This window comes from Homo sapiens, chromosome 9, assembly GCF_000001405.40.
Source record: "Homo sapiens chromosome 9, GRCh38.p14 Primary Assembly".
Classification (NCBI taxonomy): domain Eukaryota; kingdom Metazoa; phylum Chordata; class Mammalia; order Primates; family Hominidae; genus Homo; species Homo sapiens.
The window spans coordinates 19,491,942-19,504,780 of NC_000009.12; the positions used below are offsets into that span (position 1 = coordinate 19,491,942).

Here is a 12,839-nt window from a genome sequence, read left to right on the forward strand (position 1 = left end):
ACATGGTCTTCTTTGTCACATGGGCCTTAGTCCTAATCTCATTTCTTCTAAGTAGTGAGATGACTTTGGGCAAGTCATTTGACTTCCCTAAGGGCTCAGTTCCTGCGTCTGTTAATGGGGTACTTCTACTTGCATAACAGGGTCCTTCTGAGAGTTCTGGCATCAGTGCTCAATTGGCAATAACCTCCTTTGTCCTGCACCTCCTGCCAAACAACCTATTTCTCTTAATCCCTAGATCACCTGTATTACTAGAAGCTCATTTTGAGCTTGAAGGTCTGGCCAGGAGCAGAGGGAATCACCTTTCCCTCAATGGTAGAGAGGGGAATTTGTGATATCCTGAGATTCTAAGATTGTGATACCTGCCCAGGCAGGGAGGGGATAGGCTTTGCTTCTTCTGCACACCTTGCCTTTATCTCAACTCATTTCTTCTCTCAGTCACTGCCTGAAATGAATGAGTGTGTTGAAATGAGTAATATTTGGAGTTTCAAATGAATAATTGTTACATAAATCATTAGTTCTCAAATTTTAGTGGACATCAGAATCACCTGGAGGGCTTGTCAAAGCACGGATTTCTGGGCTCCACCCCCAGAGTTTCAGGGTCTGCAGGTCTGATGTGGGGCCTGGGAATTTGTGTATGCATTCCCAGGTGCTGCTACTCCTGGTGGCGGTCTGCAGTGTACCTGAGTCATGGAAGCTGGAGCATTTTTATAAGCAAAGATTAAATTGTATCCTTGCTTTACACAGAGGATACCCAGCACGTTCTTGAGGGCATGAGAATTCCTTATAACATTGTTATAATTGTGATTTCATTGTCAAAATAGAAAAGATTCACCCCGATTGTGGATTATAGATTATCTTTGTTTCCTTCATTTTTTTTTTTCTTTTTACAAACCCTTGTATCAAGAAGTGCTGACTTACAATAGAGGACGGCGAGGGAGCTGCTCTGCTACATACAAAATTCCCAGCCAGAAGCAGGTGGTCTACCAGTGGTTTACCACCAGGTTCCCCACAAAACTGGCAGTGCATGAATGGCATAGATGACGGTCTCCAAGCCAACTGCAGCATGTAGATTTCAGTGCCTGCTTTTGCATTTGTATGTACAATCACATTATTACCAAGCAATTTCCAGAACTGGCAACATTTGACTTTTGACCTAGTGTTTCTCAAATTGTCTCTTCCCTTTCTGGTGATACCATGGCTGTAGCTGGACCCCTGGGCCTTCCCTATCCCTGCTCCTGTTTTGTTACTCCCAGGCTACTTGGTGGGAAAGTGAGACATTTCATTTTCAGGGCATTTTTGGTGGGTGAGCGTCGTAATCTACGATTTTGCCTGTAGAGGGCAGCAGCACCAAGAACTTCTGGCTGCATTTTCAGTGTCAAGCGTCAGCCTGGTATCTCTCTGTTCCTTCCATCCCTCTTGTCACCTTGCCCTTTTTTTCTGGAAGTCACATCTAAAAAAGATATTTGCAAAGTACCCCGGTTGCCTCGGCAACTGGTGCTCAGGAAGGCGGCCTGGGGTGTAGCAGCGGTGTTGGCTGGACGCCCACCTGCTTTCAGCGTGGCTGAGGGGACTGCCCCCACCCCACAGCCTGGCCACCTGGCAATGCCCAGTGACTGTGGGAGGTGGCTGTCTGGGAAGCCTGTTCTCGCTGCCGACTTCTGGGGCTTTGCTCGCACATATCCTCTTTTGCTTTCTTGTCCCCAAAATGCCTCTTCCCAGAAAGAATCTGAGTCAGTCTCTCGTCATTAGATTAGTTCCTGCCAAACTACGGCAGATGTCAAAGCAGCTGATAGGAAGATTATGATTCTCCCTTTCGCAACCCCAACAGAAAAAGCGGAGTAAAGAACCCGAGCGGAGAAGGTTGTCAGGCAAAGTTCCGATGAGGAGGGAAGATGGTTCTATTTTGGCAGCTCAGTAACCATATTCCCATTCCCTCTGCCCCATTCAACATGGAGATGCAGGAAGGAGTCCCCCTTAACTCCCTGTCTGAACAGCCCAGGATCTTTGGATTTAATGTTGCCTTAAAACAAGAACAGTTTCCTTTCTTTCAATAGACACCCCTTGACTTGGCCCACATGCTTGTGGATGTAATGGATTTTCTGAGGAGTATTTTTCCTGGTCTAGTGCTGTCTTTCCTGCATGAACTCACTCATACTCTCTCAGTTGCACACACGGGTTTCAATTTATCTTCTTCCTGTCAGACAGCACCTGTTCTGTCACAAGTGAGCGATAACTCCTGACAATTTCTTCTCCTGAGGCTCACAGGGAAGGAAGTTCTCTGAACCTCCTGGTTGAGGAGCCACTCTGCAGTGGTCTCAGGAGTTCATTTGGTTTGGAACCCTCCTAGTGTAACCCTACTCTTGTCCCGGAGTGAACCCTTTCTCCTTAAGGAGATGGCACAAGATCTTAGACACATCTTAGATCCAAGACCCCAGACAAAATGGCTCAGTTCAGAAAAGACTCAAGTCATCAGGATGGTAAAGTGGGCTCAGGAAGTCCTGCAGCCACCTGGGCATCCTTTGTGGGGAAGAAGTCAGCAGTGGCCCCAGGAAAAAAAACTAGATCAAATCCAGGGGGTCAGGGCAGAAGTGGCCTGGCCTTGTGTTGTGCCAAACCCCTATTAACCTCAATAGGGAAGGCACTAGGTTCAGGAGGCTGAAGAAGAGACTCAGAGCCAGCAAAGGAGACATGGTGTTTTTTTTGGAGATGGAGTCTTTCTCTGTCACCCAGGCTGGAGTGCAGTGGTGTGGTCTTGGCTCACTGCAACCTCCGCCTCCTGGGTTCAAGCGATTCTCCTGCCTCAGTCTCCCAAGTAGCTGGGATTACAGGCACGTGCCACCACACCCAGCTAATTTTTGTATTTTTAGTAGAGACAGGGTTTTACCATGCTGGCCAGGCTGGTCTTGAACTCCTGACCTCCGGTGATCCCTCCTGCCTTGGCCTCTCAAAGTACTGAGATTACAGGCATGAGCCACCATGCCCGGCCAATGTGGGGGTTTTATTAGGGGCTCACATACAGGGGAGAGAGTCCAGTGGTGGTGTGCTGGACAAGATAGCCACCTTACAAACAGTCCAGTGGCAGCAGGCTGGGCAGGAAAACCGTAACTGCTTGCAAACAGTGTGCAGTTTAAATAGCGTTTTCACCTAACACCCTCCCCTTAATGACCTCCACCTGGCAACCTTTGTTTAGCCCAAAACTCAGGGCCTCAATCCCTTGTATGGCCCGCATTCCATGGGATGGGTGGGGGGCTCGGATGTTCATCACTGATAAGGTATGAATCTCCAGGTTGGCCATGCCGGATTCCTTAGCTTGAAACACACATTCAGATGTGTCTGCCATACAGGGTCATCCTCAGGGTCTGCTTATGTTATTGCTATCAGGTGTGTTTACCCTCCACGCAGCATGTATCATGCAGCCTGTATCAGCCACAAGTGTCCAGGTGGGAGAGCAACTGGTGGGGGCGCTGTGGCAGCGGGCAGGAGGGAGGGAGGCTGACTGGTGTTGGAATGCCTGTGCCTCTCTGTTGACTGCCTTTTCCCTCCTGGGTTCTACTTCTCTGGTCTCTCACGCCAGGCATCCCCTAAGTCTTTCTTTCCCATCAGAACTTTCCTCCTTTCACACTGAGGTGCAAATGGTTGATAACAGTTGAGAGTGACAGTTCCTGAGAGCTTTCTCTGTACTACCGTTTTAAGATAATTGTTTATAATAGAAAATGTCAATCATGTAGAAACAGAATAGCATAATCGACTCCTGAGTAGCCATCATCCAGCCTCAACGATTAACTTACAGCCCACCTGGTTTCTTCCATACACCTAGATTACTTGGAAGCAAATCCAAGCCATTTCTTTTCAGTATGTGCAGAAGGCTCTCTTAAGTCCCAATGTGACCATGCCACAAGCTGGTGAATGACATCTGGTGGCAGGATAGGGTCCATGCTACTCCCTGGATTAGAACAGGTCCTCTGCAATCTGGTGCTGACATCTCTCCACTTCCCAGGAGTCCCTACATTTTCAGCTATGCTCAATGTTGTTCTCCCAAACATCACATTTAAAAAATCCACCACTTAGAACTCCTGACCTCAGGTAATCCACCTGCCTCAGCCTCCCAAAATGCTGAGATTACAGGTGTGAGCCACCGTGCTTGGCCTGGTCTTGCCCTTACTTTCAATGGCAAAAACAGCAATTACTTTTGCATCAAGCTAACACTATTTTGTCTTCCTCTGTGGACAGTGAAGTGGTTGAGAACAGGGACTGAGACTTATGTTCCCTGGTGCCACAGTGTTAAGCCCTGTATCTGGCACATCACACGTGTTGAATCCCTGTTGTTGAATGCGTGAATGAACACAGGGCATTCTGCACGATCACTTGGAGAAACTCGAGATGAACTCCTTGTGCCAGTTACAATTTCCAGAGAGATCAGGGTGTTAGGCTAAATCGGATTCTTAATATTTTTTTCCATCCAACACTGCTGTGGGTTATGGACCACTTCCTGAGTGGAGGGCTGTCTATGGCTCTCACATGGAAGAACACACTGGAGGGGTTGGAGAGGGCAACTGGAAGTGGTGGGGGCTGGGTTTGACACAAGTAGTTTGAAAAAGCCTCCTATTGTTTCAGGTGCCCTTCAGGTACAGCCTGTTGGTTGAGAATCATTGAGCTGGAGAGATAAGGTGCTAGGGCAAAATTCTAGGCAATAGTCCAGAGATGGACAGGGAATTTGAGGATGCTGCGCACAGACACAGTCTTCCTTCCATCTCTCAGGCTCTTTTGAAGACCATCCCTGAATTAGACCAATGAGAATGAATGGCACTATTTTCCCCACAAAAAACGTGTTCTTTTTCTTCCCCCATGAAGTCTAGTGGAACTGATACTGAGATTGATTACACATTTGAGTGAGCTCCTGGGAAGAAACAGGGAAGTTAGAATGTTTACAACTTTCCCTGCCCTGATTCATTTCAAGGACATGGGTCATTAGCCTCTGCCAGCAGACAGAGATAGGTGCATAAATTCCGACCATTTTGTGATCAAATGTGGGCATAACGTTTTTTGATCCTTGAGGTGATTGTTATTATTTACTGGAAATTCCATTATTAAATTCCAGCAGCAAAAGTCTTTCTCTTCTTTTCTCATAGTTCTCACTAATTAAAACCTGCTATTAGTCATTGTCTGGCTAGAACTTAACTACTGACCTAACCTAAGCCTTTTAAACAAGAAGCTTTTTATCACAGTTCTTCAGATACTCTGGCTTGTGAGTGGCAAATCCTCAACCCTGACACCCATGTGCATCACGGCTCGCTGTGAAAACACCCTTGTTAACATGTAAAACACCTCCAGTGCATTTTGACTATTGCAGCAAAGACCATTCGCAAAATGAAAAAAACAGACCCTAATATCCAGTTCTGTTGCTTCATAGTGTGACCTCAGAAAAGTAAAATGGCCTATTTAGTTCTCATTATCCTCACTGACAGGAGAGACTAGAACATGGCAGTTAGGTTTTCCTTTGCATGCCAATGTGACAGGCTGGTAGCAGTTTCTTGGAATGTTCTGCTGAGAAAGGATAGTGGGAAGTGGTGCTGTGTTTCATTGCTGATGGGATCCCATGGGTAAGGGATCATGAGTGGCAAGATTTACCAAGTGTTTATCAATTCCAGGTTTGCAATATCTTAGGCCTGTCCCTGTAGAGAGATACAGAGTGTGGTTAATGTTCTAGTTGGCCCTAAAGGCAAAATTGACCAGGCAGTAGTTCAGTATTTCAGTATGTTTTTTGTAGGTATACATCATCACAGCCTCCAAAAGATGTGGGAATTCCGAGGTCTTTGGTGCACTTCAGAATTTTTAATGTCCTGGATGACCCTGCCACTTAGACTGAAATAAAGTCCTTCTTGGTATGTGCTTATTAACCAGGCCAGGCTATTAGATTCCCAGGTCACCTGGTATATTGCTGGATTAGGGTAGGTGGGGGGACGAAGACCAGTGGCATCCCAGGAAGCAATGGGTTTTCTGATGGATGTAGTATTATTAGAGTACTAAGACAATTAGGATATATGTAATCTTTAAGCTTAGAAAGTATTCAGATAACCCAACAAAGAACTCATGTTAGAGGTTTTCTGAATCTTAGAGAGGTTATATAAGTGTTCAAAGTCACATGAGGTGGGGAGGAGGGAGCTAACATCTTTTAAGAGCCTGTTATAAGCCAGGCACTTTATGGAGTTATAACTCAATCTTTCCAACAGCCCTGTGGGGGTAGTAATATAGTAATAGTATTACATAGGCAAGAAACTGGTGATTCAGAGTCATGGAATAACTTTCACATTGTTGCATAAGGAGAGACACAGAAAGTCAGTCTTCCCAACAGTCTGGATTCTGATCATAGTACACTTTGTGTCAAGACTTCTGTCTATTTCCTAACTTCCCAATTCATGGGGACCCCAGTAACTTGATACTTCTGACAACCAGGAAGTGGTATTAAAAAAGACCCATTCGTGATAAAGATGTTTGTAAGCCAACTGTCAGTATAAATAATTGCTATGGGAATTTTGAAGATATTAAAATTGAAAAGGGTTTTTAAGCCATTTAGAAGTATTTTTTTATATTCAAGTAATTGACAAGCTAATCAAAACTTCTTTATTAACATCAGGTTTCCCAAGTACTTCTGTAGGTCATTTATTGCTCACCAACTTCAAGAAATATTTAAAAGCCATAAATAAGAGTTATGCTTTCTTTTAAAAGGCTAAGGACTGACTATACAAGAGGTTAATTTGGCTACCTAGACAAAGTAAAAATAAGGAAGAGTGGACTTGGTGCTTCCAAGTGAGTTGAGGATGATAGAAAACAATTAGACCTGCTCAATTTGCATTTCAAGTCTGTCTCTCTGTCCAGAGAAGGGTTTGTGTCCTGAAGAAGATAAAACCAACATCAGTAACAGGGAACAAAGCCATTTGGGAAATAAGATGATAAAACTATATGGAAACAACTTAAGTGGTTGTAAGTCTCAAGACCTTGGGCAATGACCCGGAAGGGTAGTGAGACGAGAACTTTGTGTGTGAGAGCTCCAGACACCTGCGTGTTAACCCTCAGCGTACAGAGGAAAACAAAGACGAGCAAAACAACCACAGTCTTCAAGATGGAGAAAAATATTTCACGAGTATACTGAAGACCAGCTGGCTTGACGTTGGTTGAGGCCAAAATCTAGAGAACGTTATTAAAACAGGCTCCTTTTTTTTAAAATTATACTTCAAGTTCTAGGGTACATGTGCAGAATGTGCAGGTTTTTTGCATAGGTATATATGTGCCATGGTGGTTTGCTGCACCCATCAACCTGACATCTACATTAGGTATCTGTCCTAATACTATCCCTCCCCTAGCCCCCCACCCCTCCGACAGGCCCCAGTGTGTGATGTCTCCTCCCTGTGTCCATGTGTTCTCATTGTTCAACTCCCATTTATGAGAACATGTGGTGCTTTGTTTTCTGTTCCTGTGACAGTTTGCTGAGAATGATGGTTTCCAGCTTCATCCATGTCCCTGCAAAGGACATGAACTCATACTTTTTTATGGCTGCATAGTATTCCATGGTATATATGTGCCACATTTTCTTAATCCAGTCTATTGTTGGTGGACATTTGGGTTGGGTCCAAGTCTTTGCTATTGTGAACAGTGCCACAATAAACAGACCTGTGTGTGTGTCTTTATAGTACAATGATTTATAATCCTTTGGGTATATATCCAGTAATGGGATTGCTGGGTCAAATAGTATTTCTAGTTCTAGATCCTTGAGGAATTGCCATACTGTCTTCCACAATGGTTGAACTAATTTACACTCCCACCAACAGTGTAAAAGTGTTCCTATTTCTCCACATCCTCTCCAGCATCTGTTGTTTCCTGACTTTTTAATGATTGCCATTCTAACTGGCGTGAGATTGTATCTCATTGTGGTTTTGATTTGCATTTCTGTAATGACCAGTGATGATGAGCTTTTTTCCCCCATATGTTTGTTGGCTGCATAAATGTCTTCTTTTGAGAAGTGTTTGTTCATATCCTTCACCCACTTTTTGATGGGGTTGTTTTTTTCTTGTAAATTTAAGTTCTTTGAAGATTCTGGATATTAGCCCTTTGTCAGATGGATAGATTGCAAAAGTTTTCTCCCATTCTGTAGGTTGCCCATTCACTCTGATGGTAGTTTCTTTTGCTGTGCAGAAGCTCTTGAGTTTAATTAGATCTCATTTGTCAATTTTGGCTTTTGTTGCCATTGCCTTTGATGTTTCAGTCATGAATTCTTTGCCCATGCCTGTGTCTTGAATGGTATTGCCTAGGTTTTCTTCTAGGATTTTTATGGTTTTAGGTCTTATGTTTAAGTCTTTAATCCATCTTGAGTTAATTTTTGTATAAGGTGTAAGGAAGGGATCCAGTTTCAGTTTTCTGCTTATGGCTAGCCAGTTTTCCCAACACTATTTATTAAATAGGGAATTGTTTCCCCATTTCTTGTTTTTGTCAGGTTTGTCAAAGATCAGATGGTTGTAGATGTGTGGTATTATTTCTGAGGCCTCTGTTCTGTTCCATTGGTCTATATATCTATTTTGGTACCAGTACCATGCTGTTTTGGTTACTGTAGTCTTGTAGTATAGTTTGAAGTCAGGTAGCATAATGCCTCCAGCTTTGTTCTTTTTGCTTAGGATTGTCTTAGCTATGAGGGCTCTTTTTTGGTTGCATATGAAGTTTAAAGTACTTTTTCCAATTCTGTGAAGAAAGTCAGTTGTAGCTTGATGGGGATAGCATTGAATCTATAAATTACTCTGGAGAGTATAGCCATTTTTAGGATATTGATTCTTCCTATCCATTAGCATGGAAAGTTTTTCCATTTATTTGTGTCCTCTCTTATTTCTTTGAGCAGTGGTTTGTAGTTCTCCTTGAAGAGGTCCTTCACTTCCCTTGTAAGTTGTATTCCTAGGTATTTTACTCTCTTTGTCGCAATTGTGAATGGGATTTCACTCATGATTTGGCTATTTGTCTGTTATTGGTGTATATGAATGCTTGTGATTTTTGCACATTGATTTTGTATCCTGAGACTTTGCTGAAGTTGCTTATCAGCTTAAGGAGATTTTGGGCTGAGATGATGGGGTTTTCTAAATATACAATAATGTCATCTGCAAAGGAGACAATTTGACTTCCTCTTCTCCTAGTTGAATACCCTTTATTTTTTTCTCTTGCCTGATTGCCCTGGCCAGAACTTTCAATATTATCTGAATAGAAGTGGTGAGAGAGGGCATCCTTGTCTTGTGCCAGTTTTCAAAGGGAATGCTTCCAGTTTTTGCCCATTCAGTATGATATTGGCTGTGGGTTTGTCATAAATGCCTTTTAAGATATGTTCCATCAATACCTAGTTTGAGAGTTTTTAGCATGAAGACGTGTTGAATTTTGTTGAAGGCCTTTTCTGCATCTATTGAGATAATCATGTCATTTTTGTCATTGGTTCTGTTTATGTGATGGATTACATTTATTGATTTGTATATGTTGAACTAGCCTTGTATCCCAGGTATGAAGCCCACTTGATCATGGTGGATAAGCTTTTTGATGTGCTGATGGATTCGTTTTGCCGGTATTTTTTTTGAGGGTTTTTGCGTCAATGTTCATCGGGGATGTTGGCCTGAAATTTTCTTTTTTTGTTGTGTCTCTGCCAGGTTTTGGTATCAGGATGATGCTGGCCTGATAAAATGAGTTAGGGAGGATTCCCTCTTTTTCTATTGTTTGGAATAATTTCAGAAGGAATGGTACCAGCTCCTCTTTGTACCTCTGGTAGAATTCGGCTATGAATCCATCTGGTCCTGGACTTTTTTTGGTTGGTAGGCTATTAATTATTGCCTCAATTTCAGAGCCTGTTATTGGTCTATTCAGGGATTTAACTTCTTTTTGATTTAGACTTGGGAGGGCGTATGTGTCCAGGAACTTATCAATTTCTTCTAGATTTTCTAGTTTATTTGCATAGAGGTGTTCATAGTATTCTCTGATGGTAGTTTGTATTTCTGTGGGATCAGTGGTGATCTCACCTTTATCATTTTTTTATTGCATCTATTTGATTCTTCTCTCTTTTCTTTGTCTGGCTAGTGTCTATTTAGTCTGTTGATCTTTTCAAAAAACCAGCTATCGGATTCGTTGATTTTTTTTTTTTTTTTTTGAAGCGTTTTTCGTGTCTCTATCTCCTTTAGTTCTTCTCTGATCTTAGTTATTTGTCTTCTGCTAGCTTTTGAATTTGTTTGCTCTTGCTTCTCTGGTTCTTTTAATTTTGATGTTAGGGTGTCGATTTTAGATCTTTCCTGCTTTCTCTTATGGGCATTTAGTGCTATAAATTTCCCTCTACACACTGCTTTAAATGTGTCCTAGAGATTCTGGTATGTTGTATCTTTGTTCTCATAGGTTTCAAAGAATATCCATTTCTGCCTTCATTTTGTTATTTACCCAGTAGTCATTCAGGAGCAAGTTGTTCAGTTTCCATGTAGTTGTGCAGTTTTGAGTGAGTTTCTTAATCCTGAGTTCTAATTTGATTGCACTGTGGTCTGAGAGACTGTTTGTTAAGACTTCTGTTCTTTTGCATTTACTGAGGAGTGTTTTACTTCCAATTATGTGGTCAACTTTAGAATAAGTGCAATGTGGTGCTGAGAAGAATGTATATTCTGTTGATTTGGGGTGGAGAGTTCTGTAGATGTTTATTAGGTCTGCTTGGTCCAGAGCTGAGTTCAGGTCCTGGATATCCTTGTTAATTTTCTCTCTCGTTAATCTGTCTAATACCGACTCCCACTATTATTGTGTGGGAGTTTAAGTCTCTTTGTAGGTCTCTAAGAACTTGCTTTATGAACCTGGCTGCTCCTTGCTGGGTAAATATATATTTAGGATAGTTAGCTCTTCTTGTTGCATTGATCCCTTTACTATTACGTAATTCCCTTCTTTGTCTCTTTTGATGTTTGTTGGTTTAAAGTCTGTTTTATCAGACACTAGGATTGCAACCCCTCCTCTGTTTTTGCTTTCCATTTGCTTGGTAAGTATTCCTCCATCCTTTTATTTTGAGCCTATGTGTGTCTTTGCACATGAGATGGCTCTCCTGAATGCAGCACACTACTGAGTCTTGACCTTTTATCCACTTGCCAGTCTGTGTCTTTTAATTGGGGCATTTAGCAGGTTTACATTTAAAGTTAATATTTTTATGTGTGAATTTGATCCTGCTATTATGATGCTAGCTGGTTATTTTGCCTGTTAGTTGATGCAGTTTCTTTATAGTGTTGATGGTCTTTACAATTTGGTATGTTTTTGCAGTGGCTGGTTCCAGTTGTTCGTTTCCATGTTTAGTGCTTCCTTCAGGAGCTCTTGTAAGGCAGGCCTGGTGGTGACAAAATCTCTCAGCATTTGCTTGTCTGTAAAGTATTTTCTTTCTCCTTCACTTATGAAACTTAGTTTGCCTGGATATGAAATTCTGGGTTGAAAATTTTCTTTAAGAATGTTAAATATTAGCCACTCTCTTCTGCCTTGTAGGGTTTCTGCAGAGAGATCCGCTGTTAGTCTGACTGGCCTCCCTTTGTGGGTAACCCGACCTTTCTCTCTGGCTGCCCTTAACATGTTTTTTCTTCATTTCAACCTTGGTGAATCTGATGATTATGTATCTTGGGGTTGCTCTTCTCAGAGTGTCTTATTTCCCGAATTTGAATGTTGGCCAGTCTTGCTAGGTTGGGGAAGTTGTCTTGGATAATATCCTGAAGAGTGTTTTCCAACTTGGTTCCATTCTCTCTGTCACTTTCAGGTACACCAATCAGAGGTAGATTTGGTCTTTTCACATAGTCCCATATTTCTTGGAGTCTTTGTTTCTTTTCGCTCTTTTTTCTCTAACCTCGTCTTCTCACTTTATTTCATTGAGTTGATCTTCAATGTGTGATATCCTTTCTTCCACTTGATCAATTCGGCTATTGTTACTACTGTATGCTTCATGAAGTTCTTGTGCTGGGTTTTTCAGCTCCAGGTCATTTATGTTCTTGTCTAAACTGGTTATTCTAGTTAGCAATTCATCTAACCTTTTTTTAAGGTTCTTAGCTTCCTTGCGTTGAGTTAGAATATGCTCCTTTAGCTCGGAGGAGTTTGTTATTACCCACCTTCTGAAGCTTACTTCTGTCAGTTCATCAAACTAATTGTCCATCCGGTTTTGTTCCTTTGCTGGTGAGGAGTTGTGATCCTTTGGAGGAGAAGAGGCATTCTGGTTTTTGGAATTTTCACCTTTTTGCACTGGTTTCTTCCCATCTTCATGGATTTATCTACCTTTGGTCTTTGTAGTTGGTGACCTTCAGATGGGGTTCTAAGTTGATGTTGATACTATTCCCCTCTGTTGGTTAGTTTTCTTCCTAAGAGTCAGGCCACTCTGCTGCAGGTCTGCTGGAGTTTGCTGGAGGTCCACTCCAGACCCTGTTTGCCTGGGTATCACCAGTGGAGGCTGCAGAACAGCAAAGATTGCTGCCTGTTCCTTCCTCTGGAAGTTTCCTCCCAGAGGGTCACCCACCAGATGCCAGCCAGAGTTCTCCTGTATGAGATGTCTGTCAGCCCCTACTGGGAAGTGTCTCCCAGTCAGGATACATGGGGGTCAGGGACCTGCTTGAGAGGCATTCTATCCCTTATCAGAGCTTGAATGCTGTGCTGGGAGGTCTGCTGCTCTCTTCAGAGCTGCCAGGCAGGGATGTTTAAGTCGGCTGAAGCTGTGCCTACAACCACCCCTTTCCATAGGTGCTCTGTCCCAGAGAGGTGGGGGTTTTATCTATAAGTCCCTGACTGGGGCTGCTGTCTTTTCTTCAGAGATGTCCTGCCCAGGGAGGAGG

At 42.7% G+C, this 12,839-nt stretch overlaps 1 long non-coding RNA gene across 3 annotated transcripts in view, besides 1 other annotated feature; it reads left to right on the plus strand.

Annotated features, from left to right (window-relative positions):
• LOC105375988 (uncharacterized) overlaps positions 1-12,839 on the plus strand; it is a 93,057-nt gene that overhangs the window by 21,840 nt on the left and 58,378 nt on the right. The window lies entirely within an intron of this gene.
• Positions 1,042-1,565: an enhancer, noted in NCBI's record as "H3K4me1 hESC enhancer chr9:19492981-19493504 (GRCh37/hg19 assembly coordinates)". NCBI's record gives its function as "activates a minimal SCP1, AML or CMV promoter by ChIP-STARR-seq in primed H9 embryonic stem cells {active_cell/tissue: H9 hESC(primed)}" and the evidence as "EXISTENCE:reporter gene assay evidence [ECO:0000049][PMID:30033119]".